General features: G+C 44.9%; 2 annotated features.

The window, feature by feature from the left end:
* Positions 3334 to 3413: a silencer, noted in NCBI's record as "silent region_14842". NCBI's record gives its function as "represses an Ori minimal core promoter by ATAC-STARR-seq in GM12878 lymphoblastoid cells {active_cell/tissue: GM12878}" and the evidence as "EXISTENCE:reporter gene assay evidence [ECO:0000049][PMID:35858748]".
* Positions 3684 to 3813: an enhancer, noted in NCBI's record as "active region_20735". NCBI's record gives its function as "activates an Ori minimal core promoter by ATAC-STARR-seq in GM12878 lymphoblastoid cells {active_cell/tissue: GM12878}" and the evidence as "EXISTENCE:reporter gene assay evidence [ECO:0000049][PMID:35858748]".

Below are 19819 nucleotides of genomic sequence, written 5' to 3' on the forward strand. Positions count from 1 at the left end.
CAGGAGAAATGAAACCTGCTGATCCCCTGAGCCTGGACTTCCAGCCTCCAGAACTGTGAAAAAATAAATGTCTGTTGTTTAATCCACCCAGTCTTTGGTATTTGGTATGCCAGCCCTAGAAAACTAAGACCCTTGGGATGGTTTACAGGTGTAATGCCATCCCATTGTGATATCAAGTTGCAGCCTAGAATCCTGAAGATAGCCAAAATCCCGTGAGAGCCTGACATACATACTAGATTTGGCTTCTCTATCAACTTTTTTTCTCCCATGTGCACTATACTATAGTAACAGGAACAGAGGGACCATCAATTAGATTCAATGTGCTGAAACCCCATGAAAAACTAGGCAGTGCATGGGAGACATTTCTCAAAAGAAGAAATACAAGTGGCCAACAAACACATGAAAAAAAAGTTTTAATTTGCATAGAAATGCAAATTGAAAACACACTGAGATATCATCTTACACCAGTCAGAAGGGCTATTATTAAAAACAAAAAACAACAGATGTCGTTATGGATGCAGAGAAAGGGGAATGTCTATACACTGCTGGTGGGAATGTAAATTACTTAAACCTCTATGAAAAGCAGTGTGGAGATTTCTCAAAGAATTAAAAATAGAACTACCATTCAGAGCAATCCCACTACTGGGTATTAACCCAAAGGAAAAGAAATCATTATATAAAAAAGACACCTGCACATGGGATATATATATATATATATATATATATATATATATATATATATATATCCCATGTGCAGGTGTCTATATATACACACACACACACACACACACACACACACACACACACACACACCATGGAGTACTACACAGCCATAAAAAAATAATGAAATCATATCCTTTGCATCAACATGGATGGAACTGTAGTCCATTATTCTAAGTGAACTAACTCAGAAACAGAAAATCAAATATCACATGTTCTCAAAAGTGGGAGCTAAACAATGGGTACACATGGACACAAAGATGAAAATAATAGACACTGAGGACTCCAAAGAGGTTGGGAGGGGAGTGGGGGTTTGAAAAATTATCTATCGAGTACAATGTTCACTATTTGGGTAACACACTAGCCCAACCCCTACCCTTATGCAATATATCCATGTAACAAGCATGTATATGTATCTCCTGAATCTAAAATAAAATAAAACTTTTTTAGAAGGAATCAGTGTGCTGGACACTGCTAAGTGCTCTGAGAATACAAAATGATTTAGAGTTGTTTCCCTTAAGGGACTCATCATCTCCTGGAGAAAGACAAGATGAGCCAATACTCTGATAAAGGTGTAAAGAGAAACTTTTGGAGCTAAGAGTGATTGATTTGAATTTTGGGCTTGGGATTCTGGGAAGGGCAGGGAGGATCAGTGAAGGTTTCACAAACAGGGAGAAGTTCAAGTAGGACTGTTTTGGTACCTATTGATCTCTAGCAATACAACTATGGAAAAACATAAAGAAGCTCATTCATTATCTCAAGGCAAGCTATGTGCCTGGACCTGAGCTAAGAATTAGAGCTATAACCTTAAGCAAGACAGAGTTCCTGACTTCAAAGAGTGTATAGCCTGCTAACACACTCGTGATCACACCACCAAGAGTTAACCACTGCTGATATGTTGGTGCGGTCCTTCCCAATTTGAAAGAAAAAAAAGTTGAGATTACCCTGTGCGTACAGTTTTGTGCCTTGGTTTGTTTTTTCTCTCCTGGTACACAGATATTGTGAGAATTTTCCTCACAGCATTAAATAATCTACAAAATCATGATTTTGAATTGATACATCACACATTGTCATATGAATATATCATTGTTTACTTGAGCGATTCTCTGTTGCTGGGAAATGTTTTCTAGTTTTTGCTACTACAAAATAACACTGTAACAAATATACTTAATCTTTATGCTTCTCTCACAATTTTCTTAGGGTAAGTTTCCAAACTAGCTAAATAACTAGTTCAAAAAGAAAGAACATTTTAGAAGCTCTTGCTGATAGTTTTTCTAATGTGGCTTATAGAAATGTTGTCCGGGTTTGTGTTTCCCTAGCAGGTATCTGAGTGTCTTCTGCCTGGAGATTGTCAAGCGGCAGACCATGAGGAAAGCAAGCCTGGTCCCAGGAATGGGGTGGGGAGTTTTGGCCAAGCGTGACATGAACTAAAAAATGCTGAAAGAAACCAAAAGACAGGCTACAAACTACAATCAATGAATAGCCAGTAGGAACTTGGCAATTAAGGAAATAAATTGTAGGAAATGATTACAACACAGTCCAAGTCAACACAAAGATTTTATTTGCTTCTAGCACAATTTTAGGGCACCATTCTGAAACCTGTGTGTGACTAAAGGGATTCTGAGAAACAAAGGTTCACTGTGGGTGTAGTTAGAGCTCCTTGAGTAGCAAGCAACAGAAACTGACCTTGGCTCATCTAAATCAAAAGGGAATTTACTGGAAAAACAGCTGATCTTTCAATAGCTCAACTGGAAATCAGGTCCAGAAACTAGGAAAGAACAAACAGGAACCGGGGTGACGCCATAGGCAAGAAGCAGCACAGAATCAAGACCTAGGACCTCCTCATTGGGGTCGCTTGGCTACACAACTGTGAATCACAAATGAGCTCCAGTTGGTTTCCATCTTTTGATGACTTTGTTCAAATGTCAGATTCCAAGGAAGGAGGATCTGACCGACCTCATGTGGCTCACATGCATTACCCCAGGCCAGAGAAAGGCAGACACCCTGACTAACAACTTTCCATATGTAGAATAAGTAATTCTTAGAGGTAGGTCAGGGCACAGCCAGCCAAAACCAAAACTGTTTACCATACCATGTTACCTGGCAGGTGAGGTACACTAAGATTTAACCATTGTTAATCTCTGAGCCCAAATTAATTTCCCACATCGAACTCCTGCCTCCCCACCCCACCACACCCCACCAAAGTAGAATTCTGTGGAAGTGAAGAGACCCAGGAACTGTTAAGCTTTGATCAGACACGACTGAGAAATTCTAAATACCAGCCATCGTGTATGTGGTGCTGTGCTGGAAGTTGGTATGAATAAATAATTAAAATAAATAATCCTGCTTTAACTTGAACTGAGGTTTAGCCTTTCTCCCTCCCCACTTCTTTTTCATCTGGAGCTCTGGGCTTTGACTGATTAAAAACAACAAGGGAGCAAGTGAACTGGAAGGAGTCTTGACTGAGAGCCAAAGCCAGACTCCTGCTGCCTTCTGCTGGGCCAGAGTCCCCTCCTCCATCTGATGAGCCTAGTGCAGAAAAGAGAGCCCAAAAGATATTGCCTGGCTTTGTTTGAGAGGAATGCTAAAACCAGATCAGTACAGGGGGCAATGGGAAGCTGGCTCTCCCCAAGAGGTCTCTCCCTTGAGACAAAATCTCTCAGGCTTGTCTTTCTCTCCTGGCTTGTAGGAATCACGCCTCATCCCAGTGGCTATAACTGAAGCCATTGGCCCTGCGTGTGCTGCTTCTGGTACCCGCGAACAGAAAGAAGAAACCCAGTTCCCCTCAGGCACCCTCATCATTCAGCCAGGCAGTGATAGGAAGAAAAGGGGAACTGATAACTTTCAGGAACAGAAGCAAAGTAACACAAATCTCATGGCACTGTGGCACATGACAAGTCACAGGATCAGGGCGGGGGTTCATGCAGGAATGTAACACGGGAGATGAGCTGCCCTTGAGGACAGGGCGGTGGTCAGGAAATGGCAGACTCCACTCTTTCTGAAAAGAGGCCAGGAGTCCTGGTCTCAGGTCCTTGGGTACTGCAGAGCAGACGTCATTAGACATTTCCTTTGAGTAATCAGGACTGCAGGTAATGAATTACTCCCTTGGGAAGTGGGTTTGGGGCTGCAAAGTGGGGACAGTGATCCTACACTGATCTCCAGAGTCAACTCAGTCTTCAAGAGTACATTCTAGAAAGACTTTGGGATCTTTACATCCACAGAGCCAAGGCAAGATCCCAAGAGCTCTGGAGAATGCTCTTTCAGAGTCCCAGAGGAGTGGAGAAATGACCATTTGGTCCAGGACACTTGCTGATTTGGGAAGGGGCGGCCTTGCCAGTCTGTGGAGCCAGGGTCTGAGTAGAATCATCACAGAGTACTCTGCCCAGAAAGAGTTACAGTGGCCCCACCACATGCAGAATTTAGAAACTGCCATGCCATACAATACTAGTAAAAATATTAACAGGGTTCCAGTTTTCCCCACGATAAACACTTCAATATTTTTTTCTAAAATATCAAATCATTTCCATTTTTTCTCATTTTCTAGGGCTTTGTTTGCCTAGTCTGCTTCGGGTAACGATGTGCTAGGCATGGCCCCAGGAGGCTCCAGCAGACTTTGTTAACTGGCAAGAGGCTGCTTTTGTGCATCACAGCAGGAAGAAAGTCTACATGTGAAAAGCTTCCTGCTTGGAACATGGGGGTCAAGAGGACTTGCTCCTAAGGAGGAGAATATCTGTCCTGGGCAGGCTCTGTTCTCCCCCACAGGGCTTCTCTGGGTGGGCCCCTCAGCCCCATCTGCAGAGCGGAGGCTGAAGGACCAAGAGCAGGTCATGTGGGTCTGAGGGCACCTGGGATGAACTGTCACCCTGAGAACTATCTGTTGAACGCAGCCTTCTCTTCGGTGACACTTAGTCCCAATCTAAGGGTCTCTGGCATGGAGCGTGTCAACTCAGCATGCAAGCTCTGCTGCACCGGCCATCCCTCTTCCACAGATGCTCTTGCCTGCCTTTCCCTGTACTCAATCCCACCCTCGCTCTGTGTCCATCCCTAAACCCACTGTAGCTGGAAGTCCATTTCTCTCCTTCTATGGGGCACTTACATTCTTCTGACCTTTCACCTGTGTTGCCTACACTTAGCTTTTCCTTTTAACTTTTAATCTGTTTTGGGCTCATATCTAAAGTCTATCATATGCTCCAGAAGGCCAGGGTCATTTTTTTTTCTATTCTCTGTGTGTCCTGCACAGTCCCTAACACATAATAAGTGCTCCTCTGTGTCCCTTTTTCCTCAAAAAGCTTGCTGATAATAGCTCAATTACAGGACACATACATCACCTTCACACATTACCTAGAACAGTGGCCCTTAACCTCTTAAGAGTGACTATATTCTTAAGAATATAGTGAAAGCGACAAACCCCTCCTCAAAAAGATGCACATGGACATATATGGAAAAATTGCTTCATGCAAATTTCAGGATTTTACAGCCCCTCTGCAACCTGTTCAGCCATTGACTCTAAGCTAAGAAACACTGTTTAAACCGGTTCTTTTAACTGCACTGCGAGGTGGCTGCACAGACATTGTGGCCTGTGTTTAACAGGTGGGAAAAACTGAGGGTTGGAGATGGGGAGAGACTCCTCCAGACTGCTCTATATGGTTGATTGGTGTGGCTCCTTGCCCAGTGCCCACATCTCCTTTGATATCTATTTTGCAGATTTGCCCTGAGAAGTGCAAAATCAACACAGAAATATCTCTTCCATCAGTACCTGTGCATCAGGGCAGAAACTGTAATTCTTGTCATTCTTGCCCTTGCTATGATGTTTGGCATCTGATGAAACAGTGCCTCACAAAGTCCAGCTGCAATTCTTGCCAGGGCTGAAGCGAGTTCCTCTCCTGGTGTCAGAGGACAGCTTGCTTATTGTTGTAAATTTTTTATTTTCTCATCAGAGGCTCCCAGCTGTCTCTCCAAATCTGAATACAAGAAGTCAAATGTGAGAGCAGCCAGGTGGAGTTATTAGCATTGCGGCAGACCTTCTCATCTCAGCAGCTGCATCAGTTATTCTCGTGTGTTGGCTTGAGATGCCCTGCACCAAACCATGGGCCCTTTACTCAATCGACCCCATGATTCGGAAGGCCCCGGCATCTCGGCAGGCAAATGACGTGATGAGGAAGGAGTCATGGAAGGGCATTGAGCCAGCACCTTACACAGCAGCTTCAGTTTCCACTGTCAGTGCGTGATATGTGAATGAAAATCCCTGCGTAGTCATTAATGCATAATGCCTCAGTCACTGCCTCAAAAATCAATCTTTTACTGCCTCAACGAGGAAAAAAAACAATCCCACTGCTCTCCCAGGCCCTGTAGTGTGAGTCTATCATGGCCACTTGGGCATCACTTGGGCTCAGCTCCCTGACATGACAGAGTGTAATAGCTTCATAAAAAAGCAAGAGTGGTGGTTTTTTCAAACACCATTTGCTGTGTTTGAACAAATGTGCTTCATCACAGCTCCGCCTGCCTGTGGGCTGCTCTGTAGCTGACAGATAGCCCCAGCCTAAGGAAGCTAAGGTAAAGATACATGAAGTTCACCTTCCTGCACACTCAAAATATTCAAATCTTCTCTAACCACAGCCACAGGGCTCGTGCCAAATAGGTGTGCCCCTTCCTTGAATTTGTATGTGTGAATATTTCAAGCAGTGATGGCCCTGTATACCTTCTAAGGAAAAATATGTCTCTCAAATCAGCTGTTGTTGTTACTTTTTGCCCTTGTGGTTTCCCGGCATGACCCCAGGCACCTGTTAGTAGCTGTTGTGCTCCAAGACCACAACCTCCTAAACAAAGGTATTTATATTTCAAAGGGGATGAGGCCTTATTCAGTTCCTTCCTTCCCCACCTCCTTTAAGAAAATTCCAGCATTTGGGCTGGGCGTGGTAGCTCACTCCGGTAGTCCCAGCACTTTGGGAGGCCGAGATGGGTGGATCTCTTGAGGACAGGAGTTCGAGACCAGCCTGGCCAACATGATGAAACCCCATCTCTACTAAAAACACAAAAATTAACTGGGCATGATGGTACATGCCTGTAGTCCTAGCTACTCAAGAGGCTGAGGCAGGAGAATTGCTTGAACCCAGGAGGCAGAGGTTGTAGTGAGCCAAGATCTTGCCATGCACTCCAGCCTGGGAGACAGAGTGAGACTCCATCTCAAAAAAGAAAAAAAGAAAAGAAAATTCCAGTGTTTGACTAGCGTGCACTGTGATAGCCTGTCAGGGAGAAATATTTGGCCAGAGGTGTAAGTGGCTGCTGTGCACTGTTGTGTTAAAATGACGGTGACTCTAGGAGTCAGGACACTGTGTAGGACATCACTGAGCATCATGTCTGGTACTTTCTCTCAGCCTCCTTTGGGAATCACCTGCATCAGTGGTTCTCAACCAGGGGTAGTTCAGGAGACATTGTCAATGACTGGGGATACTGCCAGTGTTTTTGATATCATAACTTGGGAGGAAGAGGAGGAGGAGGAGTGCTACTGGCATCCATTGGGGAGAGGCCAAGGATGCTGCTCAACATCCAGCAGGGCACAGGACAGCCCCCCACAACCAAGAATTATCCAGCCCAAATGTCAATGGTGCCAACGTTCAGAATCACTGGCTACATTGACTAAGTCACTGCCACTTTCGCACTACAGTCTGTTCCAATAATCTGTGGTAGAGATACACATCTGGATAGGAAAATTGTCATCCTTCTTCAATTCATTTAAATTTCATAAAAATGTATTGGATGTCTAACCTGTGTAAGGGCCATGGGAATGATGACAGAGAGCGTCTCGGCCTTCCAGAAACTTAAGTCCAGTGACAGAGACAGACAAGTGCGTACCAACCATGCAATGCCATATCAGGAGCGGGTGGCGAGTGCTGTCACAGCATACAAGGGGCTGGGAACCTGAGAAGCAGAGATGACCTCCAGCCGGCCCAGAGGGCAGGCAGGCTATGCAAAGTTTTCAGAAAAAAATAGATGTGAGCTGTGGGGGCTGCAGGGATGAGGAAACCTCACACAGGTGAAGCAGGACGGGGAGCTCTGAAGACTCAGGGAAGAATGTGAGCAAAGGCAGAGATGCTGCCTGGTGGGATGGTGGGAAAGGAAGTAAGGGGCTGACTTCTGTGGCTTGCCCTAGGCCGCCTGGTGCACTAGGGTGGAGGAGGCTGACTTTCTTCCTTTTGTTACATTTACTATTTTGGAATAGTGGGCCACATATTTACATTTCAGACTTTTATAGTCTCTTCCTTTGTTTGCTACGGTCACATTAATATTCAGTAGAGAATCTTGCCATTTTTATGCAGTATTTAGTGGAGAAGAGACTTTTCACCTAAAAGTAAATTACAAGTTTCTCCTGCAGAGAGTGGTAGCTCATGCCTGTAATCCCAACACTTTGGGAGGCTGAGGTGAGAGGACTGTTTGAGACCAGGGATTTGGGACCACTGGCAATATAGTGAGACCCCATCTCCACAAAAAATAAAACAATTAGCCTGGTGTGGTGGCGCACGCCTGTTGTCTCAGCTACTCCGGAGGCTAAGGTGGGAGAATCGCCTGAGGTGGGAGCATTGCCTGAGCCCAGGAGGTCGAGGGTGCAGTGAGCCATGATTGTGCCACTGCACTCCAGTCTGGGTGACAGAGCAAGACCCTGTTTCAAAAAAAAAGATTTCTCCTGAGGCCAGAACTAAATAAGCTGCTGTATTTGGTTCAGTCGTTAGTAATTCACATGAATCACAATTTGGTTTTAGAAAAACTCATTTTTAGTGCATATATTTGAAAATATCTCAGAATCATGGATTCCAGAGACGGAAGAGATCTTGAGAAATGCTCAGGTTCAGTTTTGTCTGGTCCAACCAGATAAGCTATTTTCGTCATCATTTCACAGATGAGACAATTAAACATCTGCACATTTTAGACAGAAAATAAGCCTACGTTAAGTGGCAGGATTTTTAAACCTGATGCATTTGCTAAGTGGTGCAGTACTCGAGATTTGGAGGTGAGAGAGTAACTATTGTCCAGACTCAATTGCCCAGAGATCAAGGAGGTAGACTTGGGGGTAGAGGGATACAGGCTTAAAGGGCAGTAGGAAGCCACCCAAGCTCAAGATTTATTGGAGGGCAGATTCTCATCTCTATACTGATTGAGTGACCCCAGCCAGTGAGATCTCCTGGAAGCAGATGTGGGGAACAGTTGTGATTGTTGTAAGTCAGAGGACAAAGTTCATCTGGAGAGAGCATCTGTCCAGGGAATCTCTGGAGACTGGAGCCACTGTAGGAAATTCGGGATTTCAACAGAGAAAAAGCTTCCCTTGGGTGTGGGCAGGCAGGGGATATCCCTGGGGATCTTGACCGTAAGTGACCACCAAGATGTGCTCCAACCCAGACTTCCCTGACTCTGGGCAGCCTGTGGACTCTCCTACCCTGGCTCAGAATCTCCGCCTTGGTTACAGTTCGAACTGAGATGACCTCTTGTTTCCCATCAAAAATGCACCCTTTTCCTCTCAACATCCCCAGTATGGGGCTCACTGCCACATCATTTGCCCCACTCCAGGGCAGGGCCCACCCGGGAAAAAGCCCTGGTTTTCTTTCTGAAGACCACCCTAGTTTATAATAGCAAATAAATATGGATTATTTTTCTCAGTACAAGTTCCTGGGTATGGGACTCAGAGAGTTGCTTTTGTCAGCTCATGAGATGGAGAAGGAAACAGTGTGGGGAAATCCCAAACCCTTGGCTACCCCATTTCCTAAAGTGAACTTTACCCCTGGCATCATTAAGTGACTTTAACAGCCTTGTACTTGCAAAGTGAACTAAAAAGGCAAATGTATAAAAATCAGGTCCTTTTGGGGGGATCACAGAAATGCTTTATGAGATCCTTTTACAGCTGCCAGTAATCATTTACTCACGTTTTGCTCAACACAGGGGAGGTCCTCTTCTGCTCAAAAGAAAGGCAACTTCCTATAAAACAGACTTGCGTAGAATCCTTGGCAGGGAGAAGAAAGCAGTGAGATCACTTCTAGGCATGGCTTCTGGGGACTGCTGATTTCCTTGACGATAATGCCAGTCAGGCCCATAGCAGTGCCTGGCAGCTGCTTCCCTCCCACACCAAAGAAGCCCAGGCCTCCTTAGGTTTACAGGCCCCTGGCCATGGGCTCTCTGTAGGAAGTTGGTTGTGTATTTGTTCTGGAAGTGAGCCCTTGGGGCCAATGCACCAGGCTATCACTGGTAATGTCTTCTTTGGAGCAAATTCAGGTAAACGACTCTGCTACATGTGGCCTTGTTAAAACAGACAGTTCTGCTCAGCACATTTCCCTGGACATTCTAACACTCGTCGTTACACAGGAGTGAGTAACCAAAGGCAAAAGGCATCCATGTTAGCACTTAAGGTCTGTTTCCACTTTGGGTTCCAGTCCCATGGCCTGTGTCCTTTTCCTCAGAAACTGTGGTCTCACGGGGTACCCTCTTCCTCAAGCTGATCCTGGCAAACAGATGTGGTGCCAACTCTGACCATTGCTCCTTGGAGTTGGAGGTACAGATTACTTGTCAGAATCTTGTGATGTCCTGAGTGGTCTGGGATGCCCCTGCTCAGAACTACCATTTCCTGAATGTTGACTCTTGCAAGGTGTTTACATATGTCATCTGACTTAGTCCTCGCAAGGATCCTGTGCTCATTTCACAAGAAAAAGTCTCCCTCTACCCAGGCAGTGTTCCCCCACATCTGGGCCAAGGAGCCTTACCCGAGGGTAAAACAAAGCTGAGGGGCAAGCAACCACACACCCCATGTTTGGTCTCAAGCACTGGCTGTTTCCTTACAAGTTTAATGTTTTTTAGGAAGATGCTACTTGAGGCCAGGAACAGTAGCTCATGCCTGTAATTCCAGCACTTTGGGAGGCCAAGGCAGGCAAATCAGTTGAGGCCAAGAGTTAGAGACCAGCCTGGCCAACATGGCAAAACCTCATCTCTACTAAAAATACAAAAATTAGCCGGGCGTGGTGGTGCACACCTGTAATCCCAGCTACCTGGGCAGCTGAAGCATAAGAATCAGTTGAACCTGGGAGGTGGAGGTTGCGGCGAGCTGAGATCACACCACTGCACTTCAGCCTGGGTGAGAGAGAGAGAGAGAGAGAGAGAAGAGAAGAGAGAAGAGAGAGGAGAGAGAGAGAGAAGAGAGAAGAGAGAGTAGAGAGAGAGAGAGAGATGACAGAGGAAAGAGAAAGAAGAGAGAAGAGACAGGACAGGAGAGAGAGAAGAGAGAGGAGAGAGAGAGAGGAGAGAGAGAGGAGTGAGAGAGACAGGAGTGAGAGAGAGAGGAGAGAGAGAGAAGAGAGAGGAGACAGAGAGAGAGAGGAGTGAGAGAGAGAGGAGAGAGAGAAAGAAAGAAAGAAAAGAAAAGAAAGAAAGGAAAAAAAGAGAGAAGAAGGGAGGGAGGAAGGGAAAGAAAGGAAGAAGGAAGAAAAAGAAAGAAAGAAAGAAAGAAAAGGAGGAGGAGGAAGGAAGGAAGGAGAGAAAGAAAGGAAGAAAGAGAGAGAGAGAAAGAAAAAGAAGGAAAGAAGGAAGGAAGGAAAGAAGGAAGGAAGGAAGGAAAGAAGGAAGGAAGGAGCTACTTGAAACTCTAGACCTCCTGGTGGGAAAGTGACACCAGGAGGTACCTTGGCTGTGGCTGGCCCAGGGTAGCAAACAGCCCAGGAGTGGGCACAGTGGGCTGTAGAAAACCCCACCAGTTGTGCTATGAATTCTGCTTTTATTTTTCTGAAAGAAACTGAAAATCCTGGGTTTTTGTTTTGGTTTGGGGTTTTTTGTTTTTGTTTTTGAGACAGGGTCTCACTCTCTTACCCAGGCTGGAGTGCAGTGGTGCAATCATGGCTCACTGCAGCCTTGAACTCCTGGGCTCAAACGATCCTCCCACCTCAGCCTCCCAAGTGGCTGGGACTACAGGTGTGCACCACACCTGGCTCAGGGTTTGTTTAATGGGAAAATCTTACAGTTTTAAATGTTGGCAATTTATTTAAAAAACAAACAAAACAAAGCTTGCTTAACACTCTGCAGATGAAACAACATACTTGTGGACTGGTTTGCAATTTCTAGGTTAGGCTTTCCCTCTAGACATAAAAATTCAAACACGGATAGAATAGGATCAAATCTTTCATTCTCTTGTTTTTTCATGAAATATATTTTTTATTACAATGTATTAAAATTCTCAAATTTTAGAACAAAGTTCTAAAAAATATAAATGCTTAAGTGTTTTTGTCACTAAGTTTATTTTTCGTATGAATGATACCGCTTTCTGTTCATTGACAGTTCACATGGTGATTTGAGATCTACATGTTATTTATTGCTCACAAGGCAGCTGTGAGGTGGGTGCTGTGACTTCTGCAGGCATTCATAGAGAAACTGAGGCTAAGAGAAGTTCACTCATGCTCACATGACCACATGTTTGAAAGAGCCTAAAACCCAGCCAGGCGTCCAGACTCTGATAGACCTTTTCATTCAGTAAACCGTGGTTTCTAGTTTCTCCCACTAATACTACTGTATCGATGATTATTCTTTGCTCCAGGCCACATGATTTTTTTTCTGAGATGCCTCTGGTGATTAAATAAAAGAGAAGTCATGGGCCGGGCACGGTGGCTCATGTCTGTAATCCCAGCACTTTGGGAGGCCGAGGCAGGCGGATCACGAGGTCAGGAGATCGAGACCATCCTTGCTAACATGGTGAAACCCTGTCTCTACTAAAAATACAAAAAAAAAAAAAATTAGCCGGGCATGGTGGTGGGTGCCTGTAGTCCCAGCTACTCGGGAGGCTGAGGCAGGAGAATGGCGTGAACCCGGCAGGCCGAGCTTGCAATGAACCAAGATCGCACCACTGCACTCCAGCCTAGGCGACAGAGCGATACTCTGTCTCAAAACAAAACAAAAACAAAAAATAAAAGAGAAGTCATAAAATGTCCTTTAAGCTAGGACTTAATTTTTTTTCTTTTTGTTTTGTTTTGTTTTGTTTTTGTTTTTTGAGGGAGGCCAATAAGGGAAATGTGGATGGTTTTTAACCTGGAGTTCAGGGACCTAAGAGTGAGTCGAAGGGAGCCTGGGAGAGGGGCTGAACCCCTGGTAATTATTTGAAACGTTTTGTAGAGACGTGTATTGGGGTATGTTTTGGAGAAGGAGATCTGTAGCTCTTTCCAGAGTGTGTCTGACTTCCTCAGGGTAGGCAGGATCCATGCAGGCTGGACTCCAGCCCTTGATCTTTATCGACACTGGAACATAACTTCAGCAACATTCCTGAATCTGCAAATTGATTTCTCCTCCGTGGCTTTTTTCTGTTAAAAAGATGTAATGCATGCATGCCACCTAGCATCTGGAATTAGTCACCACCAGTGGCTTTGCTTGAATCCCTTGTTTATTATGCCTCATTACCATGCAACCAGATTGTGTTCCTGCAGGACAGTCCTCTGCAGTTTTCACAACCTCCATCAACCCTCTGACTCTGATTCGTTCCTTCTTAAAAGATGCAAAACCTTTTTCCTATAAGAAACATTGCAAAACGCCTTTTAATAAAATATAAGTTTTCATGAGCCAATAATCAACTCATGCTAACAATTATGTGTCAAGAATATGTAAAAAATGAGAATGACATTGGGGCATTTATTTTGTTACAAAGGCTTTTGGGGTAGTGCAAGAACCTTTCAGGAGCAGGTGGTTTTCACTTAATGGTAGAAACTGCATCTGGGACCTAGAGATTGTCCTTTATAATTCTTTATAGGACACAATATGTGGGGAATTTTTATAATGGGGACATGAGGATCACCAAAGACTACATCAAGGGTAACCACAGAGCAGGTGTGGCATCAGGTGGCCTGGACTTGATATCCAGCCTTGCAGCGGCTCACGGTGTAACTGAGGACAAGGCATTTTACTTTTCCAGGCTCTGAGCTTTTCATCTCTTAGACAAATGCTCAGAAGGGAAAGGCAAGGTAAGAATAGCATCCATTGAGAACCCACCGGGTTGCCAGGTTCCATTCTTGGTGTTACTACATGCACCCTCCTGCTTATGCTCACAATAGGACATTTGGATTCATGCCCAAGGACACACAACTTGTAGGTGGCATGGCCAGAATCCAAAGCTGGCTCTCTGGACTCCAAAATTAAGCTCTTTCCATGACCCAGTTCAGTGTTCCTCAAGCTCTGTCAATAAAGCACCCTCAGCAAGAGAAGAGAATGGCCACATGTATTAGTTTGCCAGAACTGTCGTCACAAAGTACCACAAACTGAGTACCTTAAAACAAGAGAAATTTGTTGTCTCACAGTTCTGGGGGCCAAAAGTCTAAAATTTGGGGCTGTGAGTGAAGGATCTGTTCCAGGCCTCTTACCTACCTGGCGGTTTTCTGGCAATCTTTTGCATTCCTTGTTGGGCAGAAGCATCACCCTGATCTCTGCCTCCATCTTCCCATAGTGTTCTCCCTGTGCACATGGCTGTGTCCAAATTTCCCCTTTTCATAAGGGCACCAGTCATATTGGACTAGAGCCAACACTACTCCAGTGTAACCTCTTCTAAACTTAACTAATTTCAACTGCAATCACCCTATACCCAAATAAGTTCACATTCTGAAGTACTGAGGGATAGGATTAGCACTTCAACATATTCTGGGAGGACACAATTCGACTCATAATTCTACCCACTTCAGGAATCTGAGGGGATCACTTATGGCACCTGTTATAAGCATTGAATATTTTCGATGCATTGAACATTATCTTTAAAATTCATGCAAATTAAGCACTCAACTCCATTATTACACCACCACTTAATATAAAAACAACATTTCCCAAAAGTTTACGAGTAGAATTACTGATCCAGAAAGCTGCTCCATGCTGATCCTTGGGGTTCAAAACCGCATTGTCAAATCCCTGACCTGCATCTTTTCATGTCCTCTGAAGATGCGGAGACACCTTTAAGGAGGCACATTTAACTTAAATGAGTGCGAAGAACGTGGACCTATACAGGGCTGAACAAAAAGCAATGCAAATTAAATGCAAACAGAAAATCTGAACATCCCTGACCAAAATCAGTGACAAAACACACCAGTATGGAAACAACACTTGCAGAGAGCTCTGTTGGAACTGCACGGCTTCATTTCATTCTCCTCTCTTTCGTTTTTAGAGGAAATCAGCATTAGACAAGCACAGTTTGTCCTGCTTCCCCAACAACAATGGCTTTTGAAGAACATGCTTTTGAAGTGCAGGATCGTGGTGTTTGGGGACAAAGATGATGGTTGTGGTAGTAACAGACCTAACACACTGATCAGATTCATATTTTTCTATTACAGTAACTGTGTGTCAAGTAATAGAACTTACCAGCAAAACTAACCATGGCCATACACTGTTCTTTTATTTCCTAAGAAATAACATTTTCAAAAGTGACAAAGGACTCTCTGACAAAGGCCCAGCAATGGATGTGAGAATGACTCAAGGGGAGAAAAGGGCCTCTCCGTGTGGTTAGCTTAATGCCCCACTTGGTTCGTTGACACAAAAACAGGTCCAGCCAATGCATTTCCACATCCTGAGGATCTGCTGCCAGCCCAGCAGAGATGTGCTCTGGCCAGGACCCAGAAGATGGGCAGGGCTCAAAAGACAGAACCAGGCACCCTGACAGCGTAGAAAAAGAGATGGCTTTCTGCTTTCCACTTTCCTTGGTTGAAAACACGGAGACCACAATGTTCCTTTCTTTTTCCTGCCACTCTATTGGGAGAAATACAAACTTTCCAAAGGCATTCACCATCCACTTAGCAGAAACATCTGTCAGCTTTAGCTACAATCAAAGAGAAAACATCTCCAGAGAAGGAATATCCCACAGGGTAAAGCAAGGGACAAACCTAGAGAACACTCGTGACCCATTGCTCTAGCTCAGGGGCAGCAAAGAGGCTGCAGCTCTGTTCAGAAGTAAGCCCTGCTGGTCTCTACGTTCTGGGAGCTTTACTAAACAAACCCAGAATGCAGGAGGTCATTCACCGAGTTAGCAAATGCAGGTGACCAGACCCTTGAAATTAAAAAAAAAGAAAAGAAAAAGCACATGGGTCAGGCGTAGTGGCTCACGCCTGTAATTCCAGCACTTTGGGAGGCTGAGATGGGCAGATCACTTGAGGTTAGGAGTTCGAGACCAGCTTGGCCAACACAGTGAACCCCCATCTCTACTGAAAATACAAAAAAAAAAAAAAAGAAAAAAAGAAAAAAATAGCCAGGCATGGTGGTGTGTGCCTGTAATCCCAGCTACTCGGGAGGCTGAGGCAGGAGAATCTCTTGAATCCAGGAGGCAGAGGTTGCAGTGAGCCGAGATCGCACCACTGTACTCCAGCCTGGGTGACAGAGCGAGACTCCGTCCAAAATAATAAATAAATAAATAGGGCATGTGATGACAGAGTGTGATGACAAAGAAAGGTGGTCTACAAGGGAGGAAGGGCTGGGGGATCTGCAGAACCAGTGCCTGTGCCGGGGAGGCACAGCCCCTTTCAGCCAGAGAGCAGCTCCCCCTCAGGGCAGAAGTGAGTGTGCCCATCTCTAGGGAGATGAGCTCCGTACAGAAGCAGAGCATTTTCATCAGGTTTTCCCACAGCCTGGCGAGAATAGCTCCTGAAATCAACCAACGCCCTCTGTCCTGACTCCACCTCTGCCACAGCTACTGCAGTTCTTTGGTTATCCTGATAACCGAAGGCCACTCTGGAAAGGTGTCCACTGGGAACGACTGGCACTCTGCCTTGGGACACCAACATTCACTGAAGCAGACACCGCAAATTATTTCTAAAGATCGTGCACATCTTTAAGCTCTCACTCTTCTCTTAAATCCCAGCTTTTTCTCTGTCCCACCCTCTCCTGGCCACAAAGGTCATCCCCTTGGCAGCTGAGACAGAAAGGGCCAGACATCTGGGCCAGGGCTGGGGCCCACTGGCCTGGGGCCCTACATGCACTCTGGGCTACATTTCATGCTGCTTGCCCACGTTCCAACTCCAGGTGAGGGCTCTGGGGATACGCATTTTAAAGCAATACTGTAATAGTCTGGTGTGCAACCCAGTGTCTGGTGAGTCCAGTTTTGGTGAATTATTGCTCCCAGTGGCTTACTAATTCACAGGGAAAAGAAAAAAAAATCTAGTTCCCAGATCAGCAAAGTGGAAAAGCAGAGTCCTAAACACAGTATCCTCATGAGGGCAGTGTCCGGGCCCTAGGACAGCAAAGCAGCCTGCTGGTGCCTCTCCCAGCAAGTCATCATGTGCCCGTCAGAGCTTCCAGAAAGCTATTCCTAAAACAAGATGGGATCAAGCCACAGAAAGCAGGTCCAACCTAGTGGTAATGGTGAAAAAAAATAGCCCCTAAGGGGAGAAAAAGGGCAAAGTGGTGAAATGCTGTATAATTTAAATGCATTTGCAAGACTCTCCTCTCCCAACTGTCAGAGCAGAACACCATGCTGCTTTCATTTTTAAAAAAACAAAACAAAAACCTCCAAAGAGAAGAAGAACACCTAGTTATGACTATCATTTCCTTTCCTCCATGGCTTCCCTCTTCCACCTTTATCCCTTAAAGCAGTAGCTCTCAACCAGGGGCTTTGCTCCCCCAGCACACCCTAGCGACTTCTGGCAATGTCTAAAAATGGTGGGGCATGCTACTGGCATCTATGGGTAGAGACCAGAAATGCTGCAAAATGTCCAGCAACGCTCACGACAGCCCCCACGACAGAATTATCCAACCCAAGATGTCAACATGCTGCTGTTGAGAAACCTGGCCTTTAGAAGCAGTCTTCTAATCTTATTTTCTAAGAATAAGAAAATATTATTCTTAGTTTATCCTGCAGCTAAACAAAATGCATAGGAAAAGATTCATCATGAGGAAGGGGGCAATGGTGACTAAGAACTTCACAAAGTCCTGAACCATTCAACCTTCATTCTGAGAGGATGGACGATCAGATTTAGTGATTCACTTCTCTGATTGTAAGTATCATCTTCTGAAGTCCATTAAGTGTTTAGTCATGCCCTGTGTTTTTGTCAAGTGGTAGGCAAAGGGAGTTAAGTGGAACCTCAGTCCCCTAAGAGTTTATCATCTAAGATGGGTAACAATGACTAGGCAGAGATATAAAGGTGAGATGGACAAATAACCAAACTACAGAGTAAGGCCAAACCAATTGCAGAAGCTGGGAGCTGAGCATAGTGTGAGGAATGCGGAGGGCAAGTTATCCAAGTGAGTAGGTGGCATTAAAGAGAAGAACTAGGGACGGCATCACTCTGCACCTCCATTTATCCATTTGCTTTCACTAAAATATGTACCACATGCTTCTGGGCATGCAGAAGTACATTTCACACTCCAAGCACTTGCAATCAAGCCAGTGTGATAAGATTCATACACAAATAAGCAAAACACAAAAATTCCATTCTGAGAGGTATAGCAAGTACATGTCACAGTGCTTAGAGAAAGAACTGATGCCTGCATGTGGTGGAACTGGCATTTGGCTGGGCCTTGGAGTGTGGGGGCTACTGGGGAGCAGAGCCTGCCTGAGAATCTAGGGCAGGGTGGCAGCAGGGGTGTTCGCTGTCCTACAGACAAGAATCTCCAAAAATGGAGTTCTGGCTTAAGGTGTTTGTCCTGGCTTATCTTTTGGCCACTCAACAAAACTTTCTGTGCCTCATTTTCTCTCTTCTTCCCATTTCCAAGCAACAAAACCATGTCCATCTACTCTTATTAAAAATCTCCAAGAGTGGTGTCTCATGCCTGTAATCGTAGCACTTTGGGAGGCCGAGGCTGGAAGATTGCTTGAGGCTAAGAGTTCAAGACCAGCCTGGACAACATAAGGAAACCCTTTTTCCGAACAAATAAAAATAAAAATTATTTTTTTTGTAGGTATGGCAGCACGCGCCCATAGTCCCAGTTGCTCAGGAGCCCAGGAGTTCAAGGCTGCAGTGAACCATGATTGTGCCACTGCACTCCAGCCTGGGCGACAGAGCAAGACTCCAGCTCAAAAAAAAAAAAAAAAAAAAAAAAAAAGAACCACAACATACCAAGTGAAGCCATATGGAGCTTCATGCAAGAAGATCAACATGCACCAGGTTCAAGGGAGATGCTAGCAGTTACAGCTCACAGGCTACCTCAGGTTTCTCTCTTTCATGTGCTTCTGGCCTTACCCAGTAACAGCAACTCTGAACACTATCCAAGCAAAACGTCATATGCTTTGAAGATGCACTAGTATTTCAACAGGCTGAACGTTTTCCAGAACAAAATCTTTACCAAAGCTGCTAACAAGCAGTCAGATAGACTGCCCTGTGAGTGTTCTCCTCCAACAATGAACCAGCAGAAAGGTCAGCAGCCGGAAACAGAAAGAGGAGAAGGGTCCTAAATAAACACAGTTTAATCAACCGTGAAGAAACCTAAAAGTTGCCCGAAAGTGCTTTGTTAATGGGAGAAGCAAGGCCCCTGCCCTCAGAGAAAGGCAAGGAAGGTTGAAGGTCACTTCAGCTGACCAGAGGATGCCATGGCGGCAGCGACATTCCCCGGTGGGAATCTCAATGGAAGACGCAAACGCAGAAGAGAAGGAAGGGAGAGGAGAAGCCAAAGGTGGACCTTTTCCAAGGACCTGGCAAGCAAATGTTCCCTAGAAAGAAGATGAAAATTTAGGTCAATAAGAAGGAAAGACACTGTTTTTAGAACCATTATGACGACTTCAGAGTTGGTTCTCCTTCAGGCTTTTGTCCATCAAGTCTGTCATGTCTGATTCCAGACTCCTCAGGATATTTGAAAAAAACTAATTTATTTGAATTACATCAATGTCCTTTACTTGCATCTAAAAAATCAAAGTCAAGCTATGCTGATATGTGAGAGAGAATTGAGATGAATGAGGGCTGACTCCCAGTCTCTGCCCCTGTAATTACTTTCTTTGTAAGCCTGAATACCCAATCAGATGGACGCCTTCTGAACACATTTTTTCATATTTATGAAATACCTTTGAACAATGAAATCTGGAAACTCTGGCAACATCTGTGTCCAAATATATCCAAGTGTGTTTATGTTTTTAATTGAAGATCAAACAATTTTAGATGAACTCATCTATGGTATCATAGAAACTGCATAT

This window comes from Homo sapiens, chromosome 3, assembly GCF_000001405.40.
Source record: "Homo sapiens chromosome 3, GRCh38.p14 Primary Assembly".
NCBI classification, from domain to species: domain Eukaryota; kingdom Metazoa; phylum Chordata; class Mammalia; order Primates; family Hominidae; genus Homo; species Homo sapiens.